Source organism: Homo sapiens, chromosome 9, assembly GCF_000001405.40.
Source record: "Homo sapiens chromosome 9, GRCh38.p14 Primary Assembly".
Lineage (NCBI taxonomy): Eukaryota > Metazoa > Chordata > Mammalia > Primates > Hominidae > Homo > Homo sapiens.
In genome coordinates, this window is record NC_000009.12 from 125,979,051 (window position 1) to 126,006,785 (window position 27,735).

The 27,735-nt window shown below is 52.7% G+C and overlaps 4 annotated features.

Annotated features, from left to right (window-relative positions):
• Positions 9,060 to 9,866: an enhancer, noted in NCBI's record as "H3K4me1 hESC enhancer chr9:128750389-128751195 (GRCh37/hg19 assembly coordinates)". NCBI's record gives its function as "activates a minimal SCP1, AML or CMV promoter by ChIP-STARR-seq in primed H9 embryonic stem cells {active_cell/tissue: H9 hESC(primed)}" and the evidence as "EXISTENCE:reporter gene assay evidence [ECO:0000049][PMID:30033119]".
• Positions 9,867 to 10,672: an enhancer, noted in NCBI's record as "H3K4me1 hESC enhancer chr9:128751196-128752001 (GRCh37/hg19 assembly coordinates)". NCBI's record gives its function as "activates a minimal SCP1, AML or CMV promoter by ChIP-STARR-seq in naive H9 embryonic stem cells {active_cell/tissue: H9 hESC(naive)}" and the evidence as "EXISTENCE:reporter gene assay evidence [ECO:0000049][PMID:30033119]".
• Positions 19,683 to 20,183: an enhancer, noted in NCBI's record as "H3K4me1 hESC enhancer chr9:128761012-128761512 (GRCh37/hg19 assembly coordinates)". NCBI's record gives its function as "activates a minimal SCP1, AML or CMV promoter by ChIP-STARR-seq in naive H9 embryonic stem cells {active_cell/tissue: H9 hESC(naive)}" and the evidence as "EXISTENCE:reporter gene assay evidence [ECO:0000049][PMID:30033119]".
• Positions 20,184 to 20,684: an enhancer, noted in NCBI's record as "H3K4me1 hESC enhancer chr9:128761513-128762013 (GRCh37/hg19 assembly coordinates)". NCBI's record gives its function as "activates a minimal SCP1, AML or CMV promoter by ChIP-STARR-seq in naive H9 embryonic stem cells {active_cell/tissue: H9 hESC(naive)}" and the evidence as "EXISTENCE:reporter gene assay evidence [ECO:0000049][PMID:30033119]".

Below are 27,735 nucleotides of genomic sequence, written 5' to 3' on the forward strand. Positions count from 1 at the left end.
TAGCTCTTGTACACATTTTGTTATATTTATACCTAAGTAGTTTTGAGTGCTAATGTAAATGGTAATGTGTTTTTTATTTTAAATTCCACTTGTTCATTGCCAATATATAGGGAAACAGTTGGCTTTTATTTATTTATTTATTTTTAAAATATTCTTATTTATTTATTTATTTATTATTATACTTTAAGTTTTAGGGTACATGTGCACAACGTGCAGGTTTGTTACATATGTATACATGTGCCATGTTGGTGTGCTGCACCCATTAACTCGTCATTTAACATTAGGTATATCTCCTAATGCTATCCCTCCCCACTACCCCCACCCCACAACAGGCCCCAGTGTATGAGGTTCCCCTTCCTGTGTTCATGTGTTCTCATTAACAGTTGGCTTTTAAATATTAATCTTGTATACTGCAGCCTTGCTGCAATCACTTGTTAGTTCCTTTAGTTTTTTTAATTCACTCAGTTTTTCTACCTAGATAATTATGTTATCTGCAATGACAGTTTTATTTCTTCCTTCCCAATCTCAATATGTTTTATTTCCTTTTCTTGTCTTATTGCATTAGCTAGAATTGCCAGTACAATATTGAAAAGCAGTGGTGAGAGAAGATATCTTTCTTTTGTTTCTGATCTTAGTGGGCGAGCTTCTAGTTCTCATCACTAAGTATGATGATGATGTTAGTTGTAGGTTTTTTGTAGATATTCTGTATCAAACTGATGAAGCTCCCCTCAATTCCTGTTTACTGAGAGGTGTTCTGTTTTGTTTTGCCTTAATAGTGAATGGGTGTTGGACTTTGTTAGGTGCTTTTTCTGCACCTACTGATGTGATCACATGATTTTTCTTTAGTCTGTTGATGTAATAGATTACATTAATTGATTTCCAAATGTTGAACAAACCTTGCATACCTGGGAAAATTCCCACTTGGTGGTAGTGCATAATTCTTTTTATACATTGTTGATTCCAATTTGCTAGTATTTTTTGAAGATGTCTGCATTTACATTCATGAGAAATATTTTCTGTAGTTATCTTTTCTTGTAATGACTTTGGTTTTGATATTAGGATAATACTGGCCTCATAGGATAAGTTAGAATATAGTCACTGTACTTCTATCTTCTGGAAAAGATTGTAGAGAGTTGGTATAATTTCCTTCTTAAATGTTTGGTAACATTTTCCATCTGCTTTCTGTTTTGGAAGGTTATTAATTGTTGATTCAATTTCTTTAATAGATATAGACCTATTCCGATGTCTATTTCTTCTTGTGTGAATTTTGGCAGATTTCATTTTTCAGGAAATTGGCCCATTTCATCTAGGTTACATTTGTGTGCATAGACTTGTTCATAATATTTCTCTATTCTTTTAGTGTCCATGGGATCTGTAGTGATGTTTCCTTTCTCACTGTCATGAGGATAGCATGGGGGAACTTCCCCCTTAATTTAATTACCTCCCACCACGTCCCTCCTATGACATGTGGGGATTGTGGGAACTACAGTTCAAGATGAGATTTGGTTGAGGACACAGCCAAACCATATCAAGCGGTCCTTGTTAAGAAGAAAAAAAATGGGCCGGGCATGGTGGCTCACGCCTGTAATCCCAGCACTTTGGGAGGTCGAGGCCAGTGGATCATGAGGTCAGGTGTTCAAGAACAGCCTAGCCAACATGGTGAAACCCCGTCTCTACTAAAAATACAAAAATTATCCAGGCATGGTGGCAGGTGCCTGTAATCCCAGCTACTCGGGAGGCAGAGGCAGGAGAATTGCTTGAACCCAGGAAGTGGAGGTTGCAGTGAGCTGAGATCATGCCACTGCACTCCAGCCTAGGTGACAAAGGAAGACTCCATCTAAGAAGAAAGAAAAAAAAAGGAAGAAGAAAAGAATGATCTGGTGTATTTTAAAATGGGTTGTTTCCCCCTCCCTCACTGGAAGCATGAGGGGATTCTTCTCCAATATTTACTGTGAGAATCTTGTACAGCTCTAGAGGAAAAACTCACAAAAATGTGTGTGCCTCTCATGATTGGGTCCCCTGGAGTTTTCAACTCTCAGACTTGTCCATCTTGACCTCCTAGTAAGTTATTTCTTACATTTAAGGTTTTCCTACCCTGGTGCTGGTTCTTGCGGATGTTTCTGCTCATGGTTTTCTGCTCCAGTAAGTTGTGATTCTCTGAATCTGCCCTGTCTGTCTCTTTAATTTTGGGACAGCTGTTTGTTTTGTGACCTTACTTCTCTGGCAAATCTAAGAAGAGTTGTTGATTTTTCAGTGTGTTCAGCATTTTACCTGTTGTAAGGATAGAGTGTCAACTTCTACACTTCTTACATGCTGGACCAGAAACTTGAAGTCCCTCCTATCTTTCTTACCTCCCATTACACATACACAATTATATATATGACACACACACACACACATACATATATATGTCACTATTTTATACAGTTTTCAACCTTCCTTTTTTTTTTAAGAAATACATCCTGAATGTCCCTTTTTTTTTTTTTTTTTTGAGATGGAGTCTTGCTCTATTTCCCAGGCTGGAGTGCAGTGACGCGATCTTGGCTCACTGCAACCTCCACCTCCCTGGTTCAAGCAATTCCCCTGCCTCAGCCTCCCGAGTAGCTGGGATTACAGGCACACACTACCACGCCTGGCTAATTTTTTTGTATTTTTAGTAGAGATGGGGTTTCACCATGTTGGCCAGACTGGTCTTGAACTCCTGACCTTAGGCAATGTGCCCACCTCGGCCTCCCAAAGTGCTGGGATTACAGGCACGAGCCATCACTCCCGGCTGTCTTTTCACATTTCTACCCAGGTACTTACTGCAGTCTTTGGTATTGACTTTATGGTGCTCTGTGGTAGACATGTGTCCTCATGTCACTATTCTCCCACTGGTGGACACTTATGTTGACAGCTTATCGCTCTGGCCCACAGTGCTTCATAAATATCTTGAACATCAATCACTGAGGACACATCTGAACATTTCTAGAGGACAAATTTGTAAAAATGGAGTTGCTCAGTCAAGGGGGTGATGGGGTTTGGCTGCATCCCCACCCAAATCTCATCTTGAATTGTATTCCCCATAATCCCCATTTGTCAAGGGAGGGACCCAGTGGGAGGTGATTGAATCACGGGGGCAGTTTCCCTCATGCTGTTTTCATGATAGTGAGTGAGTGCTCACGAGACCTGATGGTTTTACAAGTGTTTGACGATTCCTCCTTCACACACACTCTCTTCCGCCGCCTTGTGAAGAAGGTGCTTACTTCCCTTTCACCATCTGCCATGATTGTAAGTTTCCTGAGGGCTCCTTAGTCATGTGGAACTGTGAGTCAATTAAACCTCTTCCCTTATAAATTACCCAGTCTTGGGCAGTTCTTTATAGCAATATGAAAATGGACTAATACAGAGGGTGTATGCATTAAAATTTTTGAAAAACCCAAATCTCCCCTAAAAGGCTGTTCCAGTCTGTATTGTGTGTTTTTCCACACCCTGGCTGTTCAGCATGGCAGAGTATGGGTGGAGGCAAAGCTGTTAGAGCTGTGAGCCCCACACTGTCCTCGTGGGCTCAGTTCAGAGCACTTCTACATCACTGGAGCACATTTTGCCCAAATTATCAAACATCAATTGCTGGGTCTTTCTTGGCCTCAACCTGAGTGGGATGAGAATATCTCTCTTGATGCTGATTTGCAGGAAGATTCTGGGAAATTTTCTATGATGATAATAAGAAGAGGAATAGCAGCCACTAGTGACCCATGATGATTTCTTGTGACCAGGTCCTAGGCTAAGCCCTTGTTGAATATCATCTTCTTCAGATTTAGTTGCCCTATTTTACAAATGGGAAAACCGTGCTCAGAGAAGGGAGCTTCTTGCCTAAGTGCCCAGAGCCAGGATCAGTCCTGCTGTGCTGACTCCACGCTTGTGAGCTTGACCACACACTATCACATCTCTGAGCCTCAGTTATGGCAGGGGCCAAGGATGCCGAACCTGCCCTCCTCCCACGGGGATGAGGACCAAGGGAGCCAGGGTCTTTGGAACTCTAAGATGTGTGTGACTGTATCCAGGGTCAGTGTCATGGACTGGTCTGAGGCAAGTGTTCAAGCTCAGCCTGGAGTTTCCCGGCTTCACCTACACAATGCCTAGAGTGGGTGGTCCAGGGCTCAGAAAACACTGGCTGTGTAAAGGGGCAATTCTATTGCAAGCTTGTGGGGCCCATCCCAGGAAGCCAGGCTGCCCCTCACATCACTGCAGTCTGAGACAGGTGTGTCAAGCCGGGTGACGGTGGTGGTGAATGAATGGGAGGGGCTTGGCCTCTGGAGTCCAGCCTCCACTGCAGTAATCTGGGCATGTGTCCTCTCTCGGAGCCTCAGCTTCCCTCTCTGTAAAATGGGTTCATCCCTCCTAGGGCTGAGTGAGGACTGAACAAGGTCTTGCTTACACATCATGAAACTCACCCTCTTATATACGGTAGGTGCTTATTAATGAGCACTACTGAGTCAGGGTGTCTGGGGCACCCAAGCCAGGAACCTCCTTTGGGGAAGCACCACCAGGAGCTGTTTAACCCACGTTTATTGTCCAAATGAACAGATGAGCCAACTGCTATTCGGGAGGCCACAGGCTGCCCCTGAGCCCCCAGTCCCCACCATGCTTAGCAGGCTTCTCCCCTCCCACTGCATCTGTCTGGTCCCCTGGCGTCTGCTCAACTCCAAACAGTTGCTTAATTTGTGCATTATAAAAAAATGAGAGTTTCAAAGCACTCGGCGATGTATAACAATAAATAAGGACTCCCACAATATTGCCTCCTTAACCCTGGCGGCCACAGAAGCAGCACAGATGTCTGGCACCCTGACAATACCTGGCCCCTGCCACTGTGGGGAATGAGTCTCAGAAGGTCATCATTAGGCCTGTGAGCACACTATGTTACGTGTCACATGCATGTCCCTGTGTGCACTGTGGACTTCTGTGTGTTTCTGAGCAGTGTCATGTGGGCCTGTGACACAATGTTGTGCAGGTGTGAATGCAAGGGGGTGGCCCACTGTGTGAGACATGTCTTGTCTGCGTGTGGTCATGTTACGTGGTGTGTGTGTCTTTTACTATTCTAAATTAAATGGAGTCTGGGCTGGGCGCGGTGGCTCACGCTTGTAATCCCAGCACTTTGGGAGGCTGAGGCAGGCGGATTGTCTGAGCTCAGGAGTTCGAGACCAGCCTGGGCAACATGGTGAAACCCTGTCTCAAAAAATTAGCCAGACATGGTGGCGGGCACCTGTAATCCCAGCTACTTGGGAGGCTGAGGCAGGAGAATCAATTGAACCAGGGAGGCGGAAGTTGCAGTGAGTTGAGATCGCGCCACTGCACTCCCGCCTGGGTGACAGAGCGAAACTCCAACCCAAAAAAAAAAAAAAAAAGGAATCTGGGCCTGGTCCCTGGACATCCACTTCCCAGGGATTCAGGGCCTCCCTCCTTCCCTCCAGAGTCCCAGGTGGGTGTGATGCTCCAGGCACAGGTCTCCTTGGTTCTCTGGCCTGCTGCTGTGTGGCATGACACTGTCCCCAAGCCTGCACCCTGTCATCAGGTCAGGCTGTTCTACCACGGGTCCTGGACATGCCTCCCACTGGGAAGCCCCTCCACTGGCTCCAGAGCCTACTACAGGGCCCTCTCTGCAGCGCTCAAGGCAGAGACTCAAGGTTCCATCACCACAGATGTCCAGGAACCTGGGAGCAGCTCCTGCTTCCCCAGAGCACTTCCCTCCCTCAGGCTCCAGCTAGTCTTGAGCTGAGCTCCAAACTCTCTCTCCTCCCCAGAGGAAGTTCCTGCTTCATCCCTTGTTTGGCCTGATGCTCCAACAAAGAGTAGGGAGGAGGTGGGGCTCAGGGTAGCTCTGGAAATGCCAAGAAGGTATTGACTTCCCCAGGGAGGTGAGACAAGGCCCCTGCAGTCTGGGCTTAGAATCAAAACTTCTGGTTGTCATGAAGAGGGAACAATTCACCTTTTTTGGTGTACTGAGTTGGGTACTTTCAAGCAGGTTACCTTATCACCATCATCATCACCACCATCACCACATTGCTACCACCACCACCAACATCACCACCATCATCACCACCACTACCACTCATACCACTGCCACCACCACCATCACCACCACCACCATCACCATCATCACCACTACCACCATCACTATCATCATTATCCTCACTACTATTATCATCATCATTATCCTCACTACCACCATCACTATCACCACCACCATCACCATCACCATCACCACCACCATCACCGTCATCACCATCACTATCATTATTCTCACTACTATCATCATCATCACCATCCTCACTAGCTTCACTATCATCTTAATCATCATCACCATCATTATAATTATCACTGTAACCACAATCACCACCACAACCATCACCATCACCATCACCATCCTTACCCTCGTTATCTTTATAGCCATCAGCAGCAGTAGAATCGCTATCAGCATCATCACCATCTCCACCATCATCATCACTGATTTTTTTCAGGCCCCTGGTTCACTGTCGGTCTCTCATTGTGGCTCCCCCATCACAATGTAATAAATACTCCAGTGCCCATGTGAACTCCCGTTCAAACCGGATCCTTAGCAGTCTCAGTTCTCCAGGTGTTGTCCATCTCTGCACTCACCCCTGAAACTTCTCCACTACTGAGACCTCCACACCTCCCTCCTCTGCCTGGCCCCTGACCCCCATCCTCCTCTGCCAGTGAGGGTTGAGGTTGAGGAGAGCGAGGAGCGTCTACTTAACAGCTACATTTCTACCCAAAGCCTGTTCCAGGCAACCTAGGCCTTTTCTATCATGCGTCTCCAGATTTTTTTAGCCTCTGTTCACTGGTCAATTCCGAGGCCGCTTGCACACTTTTAGGCATTTGCTACAGCGGCGCCCTGCTTCCAGGTACCCAGGCCTGTGTTGGTTTTCTATTGCTGCCGAAAGACATTCTGCCTCCCACAGCTTCCCTGCTCCGTCTTCCACCGGCAGGTCCCCGAGCCTGGATGGCTCCTGCCGTCTGTGTTCTCCATGCCTAGCTGCTGGGAGCCCAGGAGGCTGCACCCGCCTCTGGTGTGAGGCCACAGTCTGAGCCCTTAGCATGGTATCTGGAGCCAGAGATGTCCCCGGGCTCCTCTGCTGCCCAGCTGTGTGACCTCAGGCCAGACGTGTGCCCCTCTGAGCCTCAGCTTCCTTATCTGTGAAATGGGAACAATGATGTCACCCACACCTGAGGTGCAGGCGTGAGTGAGCAGAGTCCCATCACCCTGTTGAGTGGTGAGTGGCAGGTGAAACTCACTCCCCAGGGACCCCTGCCATGGGCCTTCCTTCTGCCCAGGTAGGAGGGCGGCCCTGGAACTAAGCCCTCACTCTGGTCAGGGAAGCTGGCTGGTGGGGTTCCCGTGGATCGGGCCGGGAGGAGGATTCTGGGTCTGGCTCTGTCCTGCAGGTGGCTCCCCGCAGGGCATCATGCTACCTGTGGCCCTCTCCTGCCTCGGTGGGAGCAGGGCAGGAAGATCGCCTTCCCCCTGAGGGCCTTGGGAGCCATCGAATGTGTAGGCAGGAGAGTGCCATGGTCAGGTGGGCTCGGACTGTCATAAGTTGGATGGGCCAGAGTGGGTCAGACTTGAGACTGAGTGACTTTCTTGGTCCCGGACAGAAAGGGTGAGGTATAAGTTAGGCGGTGGCTACAGGGAGGGAGGAATGGGATGGTGGTGATATAGGGGTTTGGGTCTCGGCCTTGGCTGCACACTGGAACCTTCTGGCAATTTTTTTTTTTTGAGACAGAGTTTCACTTTTATCACCCAGGCTGGAGTGAAGTGGCGCCATCTCGGCTCACTGCAACATCTGCCTCCTGGGTTTAAGCGATTCTCCTGCCTCAGCCACCCAAGTAGCTGGGATTACAGGCGTGCACCACGGTGCCCGGCTGATTTTTGGATTTTTAGTAGAGATGGGGTTTCACCATGTTGGTCAGGCTGGTCTCAAATTCCTGACCTCAGGGGATCCACCCACCTCAGCCTCTCAAAATGCTAGGATTACAGGCGTGAGCCACGGTGCCCAGCCCCTTCTGGCAATTCTGATTCAGTTGGTTGGGGGGCAGCCTGGGCATTGGCAGGTTTGAAATCTCCCCTGGGGGATTCTGACACAGCTTGAGGTGGCCTAGGGCACAAGCTAGAGTCATGAGACCCTTTGGGTCTGTGCAGGACCCCAGTGGAGTCAGACTCAGGCCTGGGGGTCCAGCAGTGTTGCTCCCTGCCCCCTGCCCAGGCTGGGGTGGCTTCCAGAACAGGGAGGCAGATGGAAGGTTTGAAGGGGACAGCAGTAAGGCTGAGAGGCAGGTACAGGGATGAGATGGAGAAGTGGCAGTGTGGGGCTCTGCAAACAGTGTGGGCTCTGTGGCTGCTGCCGTGGGCAAGGGCAGGCTGCTCTAGGCTTTTCAGTGGTGTGAGAGGCTACAGCTGCGTTGAAGCCTGAACCAGGCTCAAGGGCAGGGCTGTCTGCTACTGACTGCCTCTGCCCAAATCTCCTGGGGCAGCTTTGCAGGGCTCTGTGTCGGGGGGAAGGAGTGGACATCCCCTATTTGAGTGGGGCTGACACCTCTACCCAGGGCAGGTCCTGCAGCTGATCCCCCCACAGTCTTGCATGCTGCAGACAAAGAGAATTTGCTGGGAGACAATGTCAAGTGTACAGAATGTTGGGGCTGAGGACCATCTCTCTGTGCTGGAACTCAGGCTGGAGGAGAGGCTGGGCCTTCGACGGTGGGAGTTTTCACCCTGAGCCCACAGACTTTCTCGACTTCAGATTTACAAATTGAAAATCATTAATAATTCTAACCAGGCGGTGATAAATCTGAGATCTCTCTCGATGAACCCAGACAGCATTTCATAAATCAAAAAGATTACTTAGGAATTTTAAAAAATCTGACGTCAAAATGTCATGGTTACTAATGGTTTCGGTAGATCTCGTGCGGTGATATATCATTTATCTACGCTACATCTCAGATGTGACACAGGGGGCAGAAATGGGATGTCTTTTAATATCGTGAATACATTTCAGCCCATAATAAAGGTATTAACAACTTCTTGGTGCGATTTCTTCCAGAGCTGGGGGTCTGATTTAATGCCATTTTGACAGTGGCTCCGCCTCGTCACTCCCCAAACTTCCCGAGGCCCTGTGTGGCCCTGGAAAATTCTGGAGAGGCTGAGATAGGGCTGCAGACCCCCATTCCCATGGGGGATAGGCTGGGTTGCTCAAATACAGCTCCTGCCCATAGGCGGAGACCCTAAGACACCCCTCACACTCCCCGAAAACAGGTCAGAAATCACCTAATTATAAGTAGCAGTGATCATAACTCCTATTAATTAAGCACTTACCATGTGCAGGCTATGTAACGCCTGATGTGCATTCGTTCACAGATTCCTCCCTGCTTCTCATTTCTTTACAGGCCCAAAGTCCGGGGTGCCCTGCCCACCCCCACCTCTCTGTCCTGGTCTCCCTAGCCAGCCTCTCCAGGCACATGGGTCCTCTTCCTGCTCCTTGAACCCCTGCTGGGGCACGTCTGGCCTCAGGGCCTTTGCACGGGCTTGCCCTCTGTCTGGAACACTCTTCCCCAGGTAGCCATGTGGCTCCCTCCCCCACTGCTTCAAGTCTTTGCAGGAGTCTCACCTCTCAGAGGAGGCCTGCCCGGGCACCTTGTTCAATCCTGTAGCTGCCCCGGCGTCCTGCTCTCCTGTCCCTCCTGTCCCCGCATGGCTTGTCTGACACCTCCTATGTTCATGTGGGGTCTCTCTCTCCTCTGCTAGAAGGTCTGCTCAGGGAGGGCTGGGAGCCTTGTCTGTTCTGCTCGTTGCTGTGTTGAAAGCTTCTCAAACTACCCATGGCAGGCACTTAGTCAATGAACAGTTGAACAGTTGAAAGTCCATCTTACAGAGAGGAAACTGAGGCTCAGAATGGGGCAGTCACCGGTCCAAAGCCACACAGTGGGAGAGAAGCAGAGCAAGGCTTCCCCTCAGGACTGCATCCCCTGAAAGGTGGCCCCCTCGCTGCACCATGGGGTGCCAAGTCCGGGAGGGGGTGCTCAGGGACCGCCCAGGACTGTGCAGATCCGGGCTGAGGGCAGGGAGGGCCCCTGTTCAGTGACCGTTCCGTGCCCCATCCTGATGGGTGTTCACCAGCCCAGGGGCACCCTAGAGGGCAGAGGGGTGACCTCACCTGCTCAGAGTCACCAGGCTGTGATTCCAGGTCAGGAGGGACAGACAGAAGGGCCCTGCAGTCAGCCCTGTGCTGTCTGGGGCCTGGAGCAGAGTCCTATCTGCCTGCACCTCCCGGGGTGGCCCAGCGCAGGGTGTGTGGCAGCCCCTGGAGCCCCCAAACCCAGTTTCCATCCTGGCTCTGCCACCTTCTGCTGTGTGGCCTCGGGTGGGGCCTGTTTGTCTTGCCCTGTACTTTCTCCCCTGAGGAGCGGGGGTGGGATTCCTCTCCGCCCCTCAGGATTGGGAGGGGAGGCAATGAGATGAAGCAGTCAGAGCCCCCCGCATCAGTGAGTGCTCAAAACATAGTCCTTGCTCATGTTTTCTCCAACTCCCTTGCTGTGCAGCAGAACAGCCTAAGCCTGGGCCCAGAGAGGGACAGCGGCTCTCCCGTGGATGCCCAGCACATCCTGGGAGCATCCTTGGGGGCCCCAGTGGTGCAGTCTCTCTCCAGATGCCCCACCCCACCCACTGAGTTGGAAGTGACCCTCAGCCCCTTGCACATGGGTTTGGAGACCCTGCAGCTCTCTCTGCCTTGGCTGCCAACAACTCTCAGTCACCACAGGAAAAACCTTGGTGGGCTGATACTCAGAGGGGTCCCTGGGAGCTGGCACGGCCTGGTCAGGAGGCTAGAGGCTGGAGCAGGGATGTCCGGGGGCCCCTGGGAAGCAGGTGGGAGTGGAAAGTCAAGGGCCACGTTGCAATCCATAGGTGCCAGGCTGCCCCGCTGGGTCATGCACCACCGTTGTCAGCCGAGGCCTCCTGAAATGCCCTCCACCGGCAACACCCATGCGGGCCTAGCCCTCAGTCCCCCCACAGCTGCCAGTGGGATCTCTAGGAAATGCTGGCCTAACCTTCACTCCCTGGCTCCAAAGCTTTCCATGGCTGCTCGTGCCTGTGGGACAAAGGCAGGACTCCTTAGCTGCCTGCCCCTCAGGGTTCGTTTCCTACCGCCTGGCCTACCCTCCATGTGGCCTTCCAGAGCTCCAACCCCAACGCTCCAGGCAACATAACCCACCCTGTGGCTGCCCTCTCTGCAACCACCCTGACCCATCCCCGCTTCAGTTGATCACCCTCTGGGATCCTGGGACTAGGGATGGTCGCGGAGCAGGGCGGGCACCCTGGTAGACATGCCACATGGCAGGATCAGCTGGGGGAACTCTTCTGGGGGCTGGCGACACAGCAGGGAATGAAGCTGACCTTCTCGACAGAGCCCGCCACCCTCTGTCCCCGAGCCTTTCCTTGCACCTCCTTTCGTGGTTGTTTGTTTGGGGTCTTGCCCCACCACCTCCCACTAACTTACAGGCACCGAGAGGGCGGCAGCCTGGGGTGGTCCCACCACTTGTTCCTGGTGTCTCCCAGACCTGGTGCTAAGTAGGTGCTCAGCCCTTGGGCCAGAGGGCCTGGGCCTTCATCCTGTGCTTCGCTGTTCTCAAACTCCACATCCGAAATAAACCTCTTCTCACCTCCTCCCTCTTGATCCACCCTGGATCAAGCCAGGATTGTCGCAAAAGCTTCCCAAGTTCGTCTACCCAGGTGGCCTTCACCCATTCACCATTCTGCACCCAGCTGCCAGGGGGCTCCTCTCCAAGGCCCGAGCCAGGTCCCGCCCCTCCGTCACACCCTGCAATGCCCTCTGCGTCTCTGGTCCCTCTCTGACCTCCCTGTCCCCTCTGAGACCACACTGGCCACCTCATCTTTGTGCTTGCAGATCCCTCTGCCCAGAGCTGCCCCCAGGCTCTCACACTCCCACACGACTCCCTGTTAAACATCCCCACCCCTGCAGCTCCCTCCCCCATCTCCACGGCATCACCATCTGGCACGCGCCACATTTTTATCTGTTTTGTTTAAAGTCTGTCTCTGCCACGAGAATGTCAGCTTTGTTGACCACTGTGTCCCCAGCGCCTGGAGGAGTTCCTGGCACACAGCGGGGACACCATAAAGATTTGCTTTTTTTTTTTTTTTTTTTGAGATGTTGTCTCACTCTGTCATCTAGGCTGGAGTGCAATGGCCTGATCTTGGCTCACTGAAACCTCTGCCCTTCAGGTTCCAGTGTTTCTTATGCCTCAGCCTCCTGAGTAGCTGGGCTACAGGTGCCCACCGCCATGCCCAGGTAAGTTATTTTTCGTTGTTGTTGGTGGTGGTGTTTTTTTTTTTTTTTTTTTTTTTTTTTTTTTTTAGTAGAGACGAAGTTTCACCATGTTGGTCAGGCTGGTGTCAAACTCCTGACCTCAGGTGATCCGCCCACCTTGGCTTCTCAAAGTGCTGGGATTATAGGCGTAAGCCACCACACCCAGCCAGATTTGTCTATTGAATGAAGTTGTTGAATACCTAAATGAAGGAATGAATGATGAATGATTCTGAAAAAGCAGGGAGACAAAGTCTTCATGATTTCTTTCCTCTGCATCCACCACCCCAAGTTCAGGGCCCAGGTGAGTATGAGACCCTTGGTAGTCCCCGTTTTCCCTTTTAGCCCCTGACTGATCCCAGCACCCATCAGCTCCGGGATAAAGGAGCGGGGGCAGATCTGGATTTGAGTCCTGGCTCTGTCTCTTTCAAAGCAGTCACTCAACCCTTAGGAGCCTCAGTTTCTTGGTCTGTAAAATGTGGATTATGATACCTTCACCAACATTTATTGAGCATTCTCTATGAGCCAGGCCCCGGGCCTTCTTTCCAGGTTTGTTAAAAGGATAATGTGAGGTCAGGGCAGGGGCTCAGTGAAGAGAAATGAATGGGGGTCAGGATGCTTAAGAATGACAGGGTGCAGCCTCCCCCGGGGCATCTCACTTCTCTGGGCCCCATGCGGAGTGTGCAGCTTAATGAAGCCTTGCAGGTAAGGGAGAAACTTCACCAGCCCGCCTGCCTCCAGGAGGAGCAGCAGAAGCCCGGTCTTTGGTGTTCTAGGTGGTGCTGCTGCCTCAAAGCCACATGCTTGGAGGGGTGACTCTGTGCCAAGGTCACAAAGGAGATAGACGCAGAGAGCCCCCATCCCCTTCCTTCTCCCCCCGCCCATCCCACTGCCCGCTCGCCCACCCCGCAGCACCAGCCTGGGCCTCAGCAGTGGATGAGCCTGTCATACTAGGGACTTTTATCTCACACAATTGCTTCTGCCTCTTGATAGAGCTTCTCCTCACAAATCAAATCGACCCCAGGCAGGGAGAGTGAAAATCAATGCCTGGTGGAAAGTTCCCCACAGAAAACAGATTAGTTATTCTGGAAACTTCCTTAACCACAACAGGCTCTGGCATTCCCCCGGGCACAGGTCCGTTTGCCCAGGGCTCCAGGTGGTTGCCAGGAGGGCAGAGAGGAACAGAGGCCGGCCCAGCAGGGACCCAACCCCGGCCAGGGCTCTCCCAGGCTGGGGGACAGAGCGGGAGAAGGGGGAGGCTTGGAGTCACAGACCTGGGTTCAAGTCCAGGTCCACCACTTCCTTCTGGCTGCCCCTGGGCAAGTCACATCATCCTTCTGAGCCCTGGTTTCCACTTTCGGAAAATGGGGCTCTCAGGAGTGTTCACCCTGCAGGACTGTTGTGGGATGGTAGGTCACGTGTGCACAACACCCAGTGGACGACAGGCTGCCAATGGAGGAGGCAGAGTGCACTTCCCAGGGTTCTCGTCTGGGCAGAGGGCTGCATCCCCTGGCTCTCTCTGTGGATAATGGTTCTTACAGCCGTTTCCATGGACTGAGTCCTCCCTTGGTGCCTGGGGATTACTTTGTGTCGTGAGACTTAATCTGCCCAGCAGCCCACTGGATGGTTATTTATTTTATTTTTATTTTTATTTTTTTGAGATGGAGTCTTGCTCTGTCTGGAGTGCAATGGTGCGATCTCAGCTCACTGCAATCTCCACCTCCTGGGTTCAAGCGATTCTCCTGCCTCAGACTCCCGAGTAGGTGGGATTACAGGCGTGTGCCACCATGCCCGGCTAATTTTTGTATTTTTAGTAGAGACCGGGCTTCACCATGTTGTCCAGACTGGTCTCGAACTTCTGACCTCAAATGATCCACCTGCCTCAGCCTCCCAAAGTGTTAGAATTATAGGCGTGAGCCACCACGCCCAGCCCGGATGGTTATTTTTAATATTCCCGATTTACAGATGAGGAGACTGTGGCTCTGGGCAGTGGAGAAACTCATCCTGGGTCACATAACTGGGAACCACTAATCCCAAGGGGTCTGAGAGCCACTCTGGGACTCTTCCCGATGCCCTGGGCCTCCCTGGGCATGCATCTTCCTACAGGATCCCAGCTTGCTCCCGTCATGGCCGCTGGGCCCTGCCTGGCGACTCTAACCCTCCCCGAAGTGACATCGATATAAATATTGTTAATGGCCCGAACATAATGTTAAGTCAGGTTTTACTGGACTCCCTCGTCCAGCCCGTGGATTTATGGCGATAGGATTTGAGGTAAATGTTTATTGGCCCAAGTGAGAGCCAGGACTTCCTCTCTCCCAACCGCCGGCTCCCCAGGGCTGCCCAAGGGCTCTTGGTCCACCTGCTGAGAGCACATCGGGATAAATCTCCCCGAATGAAATATTTATTAATTTTGTTAACTAGTGTTGATCTCATAAATTACACCGACTTTTTCATGAAACGGTTATTAACATCCATGGCGCTGTGTTAATGGCTTATTGACCAAATATGGGATAATTAGGCCTGGGGAGCGTGGCCTGGCTGATCTGCAAGAGGCCAATTTGGCCAGGATTATGCCAATGACCTATTTTATGTTGCAGCCAGCGACATGGGAGATTCTGGAGCCTGGGCTTTGGAAAGCTGGGATCTTCAGGGGGGCTCCTGACCTGGAGCACTCTGACCCCTGCCCTTGGCCTGGCCCAGCAGCCTTCCCTGGGGTGGCTAGTGCTGCTCCCCAGCAAGGGAAGGGGGAAGTGGGACCCCCCACTCCAAGGCATGCCCTGGCCTCCATCCTGCTCTTAGCTCTGGGAGCTGGTGTTGCCAGGGGCAGAGGAGGGAACAGGCCCAGAGGGGTTGTCCCCTCAAAGATGGCACAGTCCATGCTTGTCCGGCCACATCCCCCGTCTGTCCCATCTGCTCCTGCTGGCGCTGGAGAAGGAAGGAGTCTTCCTACCTTGAGAATAGGGAAATTCTCTCCAGAGAGAAGAGCCCCGCTGGCCCAGGAATGGGGGGCCGGCGGAAGAAGCTACCCCAGGACACTGTCCATGTGTGTGCCTGGCTGTGCTCCTGGGCAGGCCTGTGCCACACATTCAGGCACACACATGTGGCCTGGATGCCTGCATTTGGCCACATGCGCAAGACAGGGTCTCTGTTTGTGGCTGAGGGTTTGTACCTGGGCCTGCAGGGTGCGGGGTGGTGCTCCTGCCCAGATGTGAGTGGCCCGGCCTCTCCACGCTGTGTCTCAGGACTTGGCTTTCTAGGGGGCCTCAGGTTTCAGGAAGCTGGGCAGGAGATGCCACCCTGCTGGTGTGCGGAGAGGGTTTCCCGGAGTCAACAGCGAGTACTGCTCCCTCCACTGCCATGGCTCCTTTCCCTGGTGCCCCGAGGTGGGACCCAGTGAGAACAAGGGGAAGGCATCTCTGGGTGAGAGCTGCTCAGATCCAATTCCACCCAGGCCGTTCTATAGCACGGACGCTTCTCCAGGGACAGGGCGTCCGCTCCTTTTCAGGCAGGGCATTCACTGTTAAACCTTAGAAACACACTTAGGGAATTGTGGCCACAGGGACCATGCTTGAGATGCCCCCAGGAGCCCTCAGGAAACCATCCCTGTTTCCCTGGGGGATCCAGTCACCCAGGTGTGTTCCATGGGACTCAATCCCTGGTCTGAGCTGTTTGGACCAGGGCTGGGCATCTCATCCCACCTAGGCCAACCTGCTGGTCTCTTGGGCACTTGGACCAGGGCCCAGAGGCCAGGCAGTCCCTGCTGGTGGGTGTACTGAGGCTGCCATCCGTGGGTGGCCACGGAGAAGCAGAGGGAAGTCTGGAGACAAGGAGAGAGAAAACTCATGGGAGACAGCAGCAGAGGGGCCCTTGAGGCCCTGAGTCGGGGAGAAAGGGTGCCGGGGGAGGGGGAGGTGCCAGGGGTGAGGGGGTGCCTGGGGAGAGGGGGCCGCTGCCTCCATCCATCCTGGCCTGGCCAGGCCAGGCTGGCTGTACCTCAGAGCTGCAGGGGCCCTGGCATTTTCTGGGAACAGGCTGGGTATGTGGCCCCAAAGAGGCTTTCTCTAAGATGGTGGAGAGGAGCCTGTCTCTACCCTGCCTGGAGCCATGGAGACAGTTCTGGGTGCCCCGGGGGCTCTTGTCTGGAAGATGGAGGCTCCCAGTGCTGGAGGATGCAGGAAGATGCTGTGTGCTGAGAACCAATCAGCCTGCTGTTGGCCAGCAAAGCACCCTCACCCCACCTTGGAGGTAGCCTGGACAGTGGCCCCTTTCCCCTGGGGCACCCTTTTCTCTGCCAGGGATTTGTGGAATCCGACCCCAGCCCCACATACAACCCATGTGTTCATCCTCCAGCTCCTTGTTTCTCTCGGTTAACAAAATCTTCAAACACGGCTGTTTGTAACTAGGAGGACTGACTATGGGTTGGGGGCCCAGCCTCTCGGCAGGATGACAGCAAGGACAGCCTGGGTCCTGAGTAGGAGCCTGGGTGGAGCCTCCAGCATCCGCTTCAGGTCTTTGCCACGGTGGGACCTTTCTAGAACTCCAGGTCTCGGTTTAACTCTCCCTCCGAGAAGCCCTGGGCTCCCTCCTGTCGTGGGAGGAATCCTGGCCCCTTCACTGCTGCCTGCCCCATCGCTCCATAGATTTCCTTTCCTGGGGCTAGTCTGATCAAGTCCAGTTATTTTTATTTCGTCCTTTGTGAGCTGCTTCCCACCCTGGGCTGCAAGTTCCTTGAGGCAGGACCCCATGGGTCTTGGGAGAGTTCTGCCCTAGGGCCTGGCAGTGACCTTGCTGGATGAATGAGTCAAGGGGTGAATGAATGAGTGAACGGGCAGATTGTCCGGTGGATCCTCTTGAATGCACTTCTACTGTAGGTGTTGACTGCAAATTCCCCTCCCTTTTTTTTGAGACAGAGTCTCGCTCTGTCACCCAGACTGGAGTGCAATGGCGCGAGCGATCTCAGCTCACTGCAACCTCCACCTCCTGGTTTCAAGCGATTTTCCTGCTTCAGCCTCTTGAGTAACTGGGATTACAGGCATGTGCCACCATGCCCAGCTAATTTTTTTTTGTATTTTTAGTAGAGACGGGGTGTCACCATGTTGGCCAGGCTGGTCTTGAACTCCTGACCTCAGGCGATCCACCCACCACGGCCTCCCAAAGTGCTGGGATTACAGGCATGAGCCACCGAGCCCAGCCTCTTTTTACTTTTTTTGAGACAGGGTCGTGTTCTGTCACCCAGGCTGGAGTGCAGTGGAACGATCATGGCTCACTGCAGCCTTGACCTCCTGGGCTCAAGCAATCCTCCCACCTCAGCCCCCTGAGTGCCTGGGACCACAGGCACGCACCACCACACCCAGCTAATTGTTTGTAGAGTTGGGGTCTCCCTGTGTTGCCCAGGCTGGTCTCAGACTCCTGGGCTCAAGTGATCCGCCTGCTTCAGCCTCCTAAAGTCCTGGAGTTGCAGGCGTGAGCCACTGTGCCTGACCATGAATCCCTTCTGCCTACCCCTGCCCGAGCCCAGCAGCTCCCCACTTCTAAGCGGCACCTTCCCCCTTCTTGCTCTCTGCACTGCCTGCCCCCGTTACAGCCGCCAGCCCGTACCTCCTTTCTACTGCTCTTTCTGGGATGTGGGACGCTGAGGTTAAAACCTGAACCCCTCTGCGACCCCCCTCGCAGCTGGCTCAGCCCTCCTCTGGGTCCCTCTGGCACCCTCCAGCCTTCAGGAATGGGTTCCAATGTCACCTTACTAGGGCTCATGTGCTTTTCTCTTCTTTCCTCTCATGCCACTTCCCCCATTCGCAATGACTGGCTATTGGGTGTCACTGCTGGGTTTTGTCTCCCTCGCTGGCCTGCAAGGTCCTGGGAGCCCGGGCTGTGATGTTTGCCCTTCACGCCCCCATGCCAGGCCCTCATGGAACACGTGCTGAATGACAGAGTGAAGTTGTCTGAAGTCACCAAACCTCTAAGTGGTGTGCCAGCATCTGCACCCAGGCCCCTCTCTGCTCAGAGTCATTGTTGCTGCCACTAGCTCGGGCTCAGCTGCCTTCCCTGCCATGTGTCGTGTAGTTGTTTTCAGCACATAAGCTGTCAACGAGCGTTCTTTGGAGATACTTGAACTGGAGTGGCCCAGGGGCTTTTCGCCTTTCCGTAAGCCTGCTCTGCCAGGGAGGCGCTGCCCCAAAGGTGGCCTGGCCACCGTCCAGAATGGAGGCCCCCGGTGCTGGCCTGCCCAGCAGCACCTGCGGCTCAGTCCCTCCAGGATCGGAAGGAATCACACCTGCCACCTCTACCTGCTGGCCCAGTGCCACCTCCCTCTCCTCCCAGACTCTGCCCAAGAGGCTCTTGAGGCAAATCTGAGCCCTGTGCCCGGTGGCAGACCTTGAGCTTACCCAGGGCTGGCTGGCCTGCCCCTCTGGAATCTGCCCTTCCCCAGGTTATGGACCCATTTTCCTCGGCTCTGGCAAGGACAAGCTCTGGGAGGTGGACGAGAGCTAGGGCTTCAGGTTTCTCTCCTGGCTCTTCCTCTTAGCCCCTCGCCTGCTGGGCCTCAGCTTCCTCCTCTGTAAAATAGTCACAGTATCCTCATCCCCAGGAGACTTAGGGGGATGAAGTGAAATAATCCACACAGAGCTCAGGGTAGGGCCAGCACATCGTAGGTGCCTGGTGGCTGCCAGCTCTGAATTAGCCCAAATAACAAAAACAAAAAACACAGCCCATGCACCAGGTCTAGACTGGGGACTTGGGTGGTGGGGACCCCAGTGGTTCCTAAGAGTAGGACTAACTCCCTTGTATGTTGAAATGGGTTTCAGTTTCCACTGGAAGGAAACTGTGCCCAGCTCACCAGTGTTGCTCTGAGCAGCAAGGAGGTGTCCCCACTTGCTGGGCCTGTTTGTGACTGAATGCATGGTTATAGGTAGCACTTTCACTCTTTAAAATGCTTCAGATTGAGGCTGGGCAAGGTGGCTCACACCTGTGATCCCAGCACTTTGGGAAGCTGAGGTGGGGGGCTCACTTGAGCTCAGGAGTTCAAGACCAGCCTAGGCAACATGGTGAAACCCCATCTCTACAAAAAATTTAAAAAAATTAGCTGGGCATAGTGGCATGCATCTGTGGTCCCAGCTATGAGGTGGGAGGATTGCTTGAGCCTGGGAGGTTGAGGCAGAAAAGGGATTAAAGGAAATAATCTGTGTAGCTTCAGGATGGGCCAGCACTCAGCGGACTTTGAAGTGAGCTATGATCATGCCACTGTACTCCTGCCGGGGTGACAGAGTGAGACACTGTCAAAAAAAAAAAGAATGTTTCAGATTGGATGATAAATATGCTTTCCTCAGCTCTAAGCTTCAAGAGTCTATTTGGCATCATAGAGAATTTTATGTTCTTTGGTGCTTTTCTCTATTTTCCAATTTTTCTAATAGGAGCACTGCTTTTAGGATCTGGGCAAAACCATGCATGTGATAGAAACAAACCTTTTCCTCCTCCCAGTCTGCTGGGTGGTCCTGCTGGCCATAGCATGAGGCCTGGAACTCCGGAGGCTGCCTAAATCTGCCCCCCTGCTGGTGGCTGGACTCTGTGGGCCCTCTGGGGCTTGGATTTCGGCTGCCAACACCTCTGAACATGCACACACCTCACCCCACCCGGCCCCTTCATCTCCAGCCTTGGCTTCGTGTCCCGGACTCTGGCTCTGGAGGCCACTGTGTCTCTTTGGGTGACATTTAACGAGCCTGGAGAGGAGGCCGTGCCCCGCCTTTGCCTTCGGCAGAGACGGGAATGAGAATTTTAATGAGGGTTTATTTTTAATAAAGGTTAATAAAGTTTAATTAAATTAAATTAATAAAGTCCAATATTTGCCCAGCCATGCGTCAGGCCTGGGTGTGCTGGGAGGCGTTGGGGATTAAGCTCTGGGTTTGTGCTCCCGGGTGGGGGAGGAAGGTGAGGGGGGAAGGGCACTGGGGCTGGGGCTGGCGGCAGCAAGGGGTATGGGGGGAGACAGGCTGGCTCCTGGGGACATGGGGACTCCCAACCCTGACCGGTCTTGGGGTGCTGGGGAGAGAGGAAAGGCGCAGGTCTGAGATGCTGCCCCCACGGGGCCCAGGCTCCTCCCAAGCCCCGAATGTCCCCCTTCAAAGCACCTAAATCTGGCACTCAAGACCTTCAAAGTCCACTAAGCGCTGGCAGGTCCTGAGATCTGCATAGATTATTTCCTTTAATCCCTCTTCTGGCTCCACAGCCTGGAGAGGTGAGCAATACTGTACCCATTTTATAGAGGCAGAAACTGAGGCCTGTGGGGGTGAAGGACCTCCCATTATCTCTGGCAAGCACTGGGATTGGGCACAAGCAGTGCTGATTCTTCCTGTCTTTGTTTCCTGGCCTACAAGGTCCTTGCCTGGCCCTGCTCTCTTTCCTCCCAGTGTGTCCTGGGCCCCCCCAACATTTCCAGGAGAGGGCTCTGGCTTTATGTGGGTATTTCATCCAATCCTCTCAACATCCCAGGGAGGAAGGTCTATTATAATATTATCACTCCCGGTGGGGTACATTGGCTCACAACTGTAATCTGAGCACTTTGGGAGGCCGAGGCGGGTGGATCATTTGAGGTCAGGAGTTCAAGACCAGCCTGGCCAACATGGTGAAACCCCATCTCTACTAAAAATACAAAAATTAGCTGGGCCTGGTGGTGGGTGCCTGTAATCCCAGTTACTCAGGAGGCTGAGGCAGGAGAATCACTTGAACCCGGCAGGCAGAGGTTGCAGAGAGCTGAGATCCTGCCATTGCACTCTAGCCTGGGTAACAGAACAAGACTCTGTCTCAAAAAAAAAAAAAAAAAAATCACTCCCATTTTGGAGATGAGGAAATTGAGGCTCAGAGAGGTGAAGTCACGCTTCCAAGGCCCAGAGCTGGGGGTGGGGAGCATTTGAGAAGGATGTGATGTCCTCCAAGGTCTTCATCCTTCCAGGGCTCCTGAGGGGATTCAGTGATATAAATGCCCATGGCAGGGACCCCTGCACCAGGACTTGGGCTCTGCCATTTGCTTGCTGTTTCACCCGGGGCCCGGCTGTCACCTCTCCGTGATGTCGTCTGTGAAATGGGCATCATGGCCTCATGGGTTGGTCAAGGGTGGAGCATGAAGCTGCAGGTGCCTGGCTTGGGGCAGACAAGCTCAGCTCCAAATGTGGACATTCAACAGAACCATCAAAGAACAAGAATCCTGCGGCTAGAATCAAATGGCCTCACAAATGGCAGAGAACAGGGGAGGGACAGCTAGAGAGTCCCAGAGCTTCCTAGGAGCCGGGAGGAATCATGGGGAACTTCCTGGAGGCAGTAACGCATGGTCTGTGTAAGCTTTGACTTGTGGGATGGGGTGGCGGTGGAGAGAAGCATGTGCCAGGAGGAGAGTCCTGTAGGGACGAAGATCGGAGGCAGGAAATGATGTATTTGGCAGGAGCAGGGTTGATAGCCAGAAGCACAGTGGGTACGGCTGGAGGGAAGTGACCAAGTCACGGGGCTATGCCTGCCCTGGAGGGGAGGGGAACTGCCGGAGGCTTTTGAGGAAGGGAGTGATGTGGACTCAGGTTGTGCCAGGCGGGAAGCTGAAGGATTATGGGAATCGAGGTAAAGGTTTGGTCAAGAACAAGATGGACTAGGAAACACAGCCGTCCCTGGGGTCTGAGCAGAGGTGGCCCCAGTGCCTTGGAATGCGTGCTTCCAGAAAGAGGTCTTTCTCATCCCCGGGGGTTGAGGATCACGGGGAAGCCCCGAGTGGCCAGGGTAACCTGGGGAGGAGAGAGAACGGTGTTGGCTTACCCAGCCTGAACATGCCACGCGCACAGGGCCATGTGCATTACATGGGCTCTCTCCTTGCATGCTCACAAAAGTCCTTGGAGGGAGGGACTATTAATATCTCCATTTCATAGATGAGGAAACTGAGGGCCAGGGTAGTACAGTGGCTTGCTCAAGATGATCCCTCCCTCCAACCCTCTGCATCCAACTCTGGCACAGGGAGGAAATCAGCACTCTGGAGAGGCTCTGCCCGGGCTTCTCTGCCTAGCACCCACTCCAGGAGGGCAAAGGGCACAGGCTCCAGGACCAGCTGGCGCCCGGCCCCAGCAGCAGACATCCCACGAGGTGCCTCTGGTGCCAGCTCCGGCGGGCAGCCCTGCCTGGCAGACTGTGTGAAAGATGTCGAAGTGTTATTAACAAAGGCATTGATTTTCCTATCTCTGCTTTATGCATTTTATTAGCCAAACACTTTACCGTGTAACCATTCAGCGCCACACTGGCTGGCGATGAATCTGAAACGCCAGGGCACGTAAAATGGAATTGGCCACATTGCTTATGCGCCCACAACAAAAATCACAGGCAAAAGTGTCATAAAATGAATAGCACCCGGCAATGGCCATAAAACAAATATTACCCAGGGGACTGGGGAATTTCCTGGGCTGTGAAGTAGCTGCGTGAGGGGTCGTAGCGCTGGAATGATGGCAATTTCCATTTCTGTGGCTTTGGCCGGGGCTGAGGCCTCCTCCTGCCCGGTACTGGCCTTGGCCCCAACCACGCCAGGCTGTGCTGGCCATCACTAGCTGAGTCCTTTCACATTCGGGCTGTGGGAGGCGTGAATGGGGTGATTAGAAGCAAGACCCCAGAGTCAGAGAGACTGGATTCACGTCCACCTGCTCGGGCCGCGTGACCCTTCTCAAACTGCTGTCTCTCTCTGTGCCTGCCTTCCCGTGAGGATTGGAGCAGGCCCTGTCCTGGCCTCATTGAGCTATAATCGCCTATAAACGGTAGCAGGCTTGTCATGCTCGTGATTGTTAGAGAAGAAAGGCCTCCCACATGACTTTCTGAGTGCTCAGCCCACTGGTTCAGAGGCAGTGGGAAGACTGAGATGACCTCCTCTCCTGTAGAACCAATGGCCCGAGCCTGGTCAGCAGGGCCCTCCATCCCCTGAGTCCCACTCGGCTCCCTTAAATCCTCACTAATGACCGTGCTTAATGAACAGCAACGCTTCAGGGGAAGGAGAAAATGTCCTGAACCTATATATGGATTCCCCCATCTCCCCGGCTCTAAATCGTGTGACAACTGCTGGTGGTGGGGGTGGTGTGTATGGAGGAAGGGTGGCTGGAGTGGAGCCTGGGTGCTCTCAGCGGGGCCTCCCAGGGGTGAGGATACAGGGCTTCTCTTTTGATTGCTGGGCTGGACATTGAGCAGGGGAGATGTCCTCCCAGCCGTCCTAGCACCCTGGACCTCAGAGCACCTGCCCCATGGGGAGGAGGCCAGGGGAGGGGGTAGTAGGCAAGAGGGCCTGCCTGGCACATAGTAGGTGCTCAGTGAAAGTGTGGCGGTGACTAGAGGGTGCATTGGTCCGATGAGCTCCTCCTGTGGCTCCACCCTGCTCTGTGGGAGGCATCATTTCTTTGACGTGATCAGCCGGCAATGTATAGAGGCCCCTTTCACAGGCGAGGTGCAGGGTCAGCGAGAAGGGACTAGCTGAAGGCCACACCGCTAGCCCACACCCTCCCCTCCTGCAAGCGGCTCTGAGACTCCAGTGGGCATCGACGGGCCCAAATGAATGTTCTGGGTGCCCCCTCCAGAGTTGGCCGCCGGTCCAGGGATTCAGGAGTCTTCATTTGATCATTGCTCCAGGAGATTCTGACCCCAAGGTCTCAGGTAGGAGGTTAAAAAGACGCGATCCTAGGGGCTCCCAGGGCAATAGTTCTATGACCCCCGACTTTTCAGGAGGTGCAGGGGCGGGGCAAGTTGCCTTGACAGTGTTGCTCTTCCTGCACGGGGTCTGTTGGGTCCCTCACCCTCCTTTGAGACTTGATGACATCCCGGGGAGTTGAGGTCCCCTAAGCCTGGAGTAGGAGGAGGAGAGGGCTTATGAGCTCTAGGTTTGAACCTGGAGGAGGCCTGATTTCACAGCCCAGCTGTGTGACCTCATAAAGTTACTTGGCCTCTCTGGGCCTCAGTTGCTTTGTCTGCAAAATGGGGAGAATAATACCCCCTTCAAAGGCCTGTTTCAGCCAAGGACTGAGAACCCGGGGCTCTTGACGCACCTACGACTTCCCTCCCTAGGGTGAGGCCCAGGCCTCTCAGATAACTCTGGGAGGATGGCAGAAAGTGTCTGAACCAGCCTTGAATCCAGGTCTCACTGATTCCCTGTTCTCAAGCCCAAGTGCCTCCAACTTGGGACCCAGAAATGGACAAAGCAGGCCTGGGCCCTGTCCTCCTGGGGCTCCCAGTCTGGTTGGGGAGGTGGACTTTGTTGTCAAACAGACCGTCTCAAAACAGAGGTTAGCAGTGATGGGAAAGCCCAGGAGGCTGTGGGAGCCCAGGAGGGCCCCCCGGCCAGATCTCAGAAGTGGGGAGTGGTCAAGGAAGCCTTCCTGGAGGAAGAGTCATTGAAGGTAAGACTTGAAGGGTGGGATGGAGTTAACCAGGCAACAAAGTAAAGAGGAGGGTTAAGGCTGAGGGCACAGCAGTGTGAAGGCCTGAAGGGAAGAGTTTGAGGGATTCTGTTGCCTGAGTTGGAGTATGGTGGGGGCAGGGGAGGGGTCACTGTAGGCGAGGCAGGAGTGTTTTTTTTTTTTAAATGTAGTTTTTAATTTTATTTTATTTTTGTAAAGATGGGGTCTCATTTTGTTGCCCAGGCTGGTCTTGAACTCCTGGGCTCAAGCGATCCTCCTACCTTAGCCTCTCAAAGTGTTGGGATTACAGGTGTGAGCCACTACGCCCAGCCAAAACTCAAGAGCTTTTGATTGCACTTTTTTTTCTTATCCTGTGATTAATTTTTTTTTCTTAAAAATGGTTTCAACTTTCTGAGTGTACCCTTCCCTTGGTATCCCTGAGCCCAGGCTGAATGCACAGACACACTTTGTCGACTGGGAGAAGAAAACAGCTTGTTTATTACACTGTAACTACCACCGAATTACCTGATTGTTTATATTTTTCTTGCTACGTAATTGTGTTTGGCCTTAGCATGTAAATTGGGCTATAATTACTGTATAATTTATAGTTTTTATATCTTATAACAAGTTAGTGTCTAAATCACACACCCCCATGTAAATACTTTAAAATTATTCGGTAATTACTTATTTACATTATAATTAATAATAAGTAATTAGCATACATTTACAAAGGATTTACATACTTATTTCTGAATATCAGTTCTTGGCAGTGCTAGTGAAATCTTTTGCTGATATAAAATGGAGGCCAGGGTAGAAAAACCTTCCCCAGGCTGGGAAAAGGGATGTCGCTTTGGGGTCTCCTGGCTTCTCAGAGGTGGGTCGAGGAGAATGTCCCCAGGGTAGGGGAACCTAAAAATGTGCTTCAGGCCTCATGAGGGGCTTTCTGGAGAAGAATGAGAACATCTCTTCCTTGAGAATAAAAACAGGTTTGCCTGCAGCATGAAGAAGTCAAGGCAGACGTGCGGAAGTACTTTCTGATGTTCTCGTGAGGAAGGTGCCAGAAATGGGCTAAAACTTGGGAAATCCCCCTGCTGCCAGGCTGTCTTGACCCTGACCTCATTCCAAAATAATGATGCCGATGACGGCGATGACAGCATTGTCATTTCAAAACTACTTGCCATGTGTCTTCGTGGCACAGGGCATGAGCTTGACAAGTACAGTCTCATTTAATCCCCACAGCAAGATGTTTTAACTTCCGTTTAGTACGTGGAAAAACGCAGGCTCAAACAATTCATTAATGTGCCCGGACCTCTACAGCCTTGGAGCCCATGGCGGGGACAGACAGGCCAAGTGGACCAAAAGCAGTGATGGCGAGGGGCCACTCCTGCGTCCACCCTTCAGCTCCCTGACCCAGGTATTCTACCTGTTGGGGACACTGCACAAATCACGGCTATTGGTTGAAGGTATACACTGCATCCCGAAGGATAGCAGGCCTTTCCTCCACCCTCAGTGGTGGTCCATGCAAGATGGCACCCCAGCTAGTTCCACCTGTCCCATCCCAAGGGGGAGCTCATCCAATCCCGTTGCAATATCAGAGGATGGTGCTACACCGAGTGCTTCCTGTTGGTCCCTGTTGCCGGCAGATCTGATCTTCAGTAGTGGCAGTGGCTAGATCAGTCTTGGTCATGGGGGGTGGGGGGTGGGGGGCTCTGCTTTGATTCCTTCCACTGTGTTTGTTTGTTTGTTTATTTATTTGTTTATTTATTTTTTTTGCCAGAGTCTCTCTCTGTTCCCCAAGCTGGAGTGATCTCGGCTCACTGCAACCTCCACCTTCTGGGTTCAAGTGATTCTCATGTCTCAGCTTCCCGGGTAGCTGGGATTACAAGTGTGTGCCACCATGCCCGGCTAATTTTTGTATTTTTAGTAGAGATGGAGTTTCACCATGTTGGCCAGGCTGGTCAAGTGAAGCCAGGGACTTCACTTGGCCTTTGCTGGTTTCCTAGAGTTTACTCCTCAGATCAAGGCGCCCAGGTGAATGTTCTTCCACCTGTGTAATCTGCCCATTCCAATGATACATTTGAGAACTCATAAAAAGACCCGAGTGGCCTGAGAGCCCAGGGGACACACTCTGAAATGATCGGGGCTGGGATTCCACCTAGGATTCATTCTCCATGTGCCCCTACTTTGTTTTGTATTTTATTTTATTTATTTTTATTTTTATTTTTTTTGAGGTGGAGTCTCACCCTGTCACCCAGGTTGAAGTGCAGTGGTGTGATCTCGGCTCACTGCAACCTCCACCTCCCTGGTTCGAGTGACTCTCCCGCCTCAGCCTCCTGAGTAGTGCGCCACCACTCCCGGCTAATATTTTTGTATTTTTAGTAGAGACGGGGTTTCACCATGTTGGTCAGGCTGGTCTTGAACTCCTGACCTCGTGACCTGCCCGCCTCAGCCTCCCAAAGTGCTGGGATTACAGGCATGAGCCACTGCGCCCGGGCATGTGCCCCTACTTTAACAGGGAGGCCATGAAGGCTGTTTGGATTCCTGGGTGCCAACGTCAACGTGGTTCCCACATCCAAAAGCTCTGAGGATTTCCATTTGCCCTCGTTGCTTTACAGTTACCTGGGCAAAGGGCTGTAAGTTCCTTTGGGGGAAGGACTGGGGAATCAATGCGGTAAACAATCTCTGTGGTGTTGCAGCCTCCTTCCTCCTGGGGACCAGCCTCTCCTTCAGGTTCTGGGTCTGGAAACTGGGCAAAGGATTCTGATTTCCCACGGGAGTAGCTGGCCTCAGCCTTCTGCTCCTCCATTCCTGTTCTTTCTTCATTCTATAGAGGAAGTGACACCGTATCGGTGTCATCTACCCTGACCCTGGAAACATCTGGACCTACTGGGTGCCATGCTGACCTGGCTGCCCACTAGGGGATTATGTCCACCTGCTTCTGACAGCCAAGCACTGCCACAGTGCTC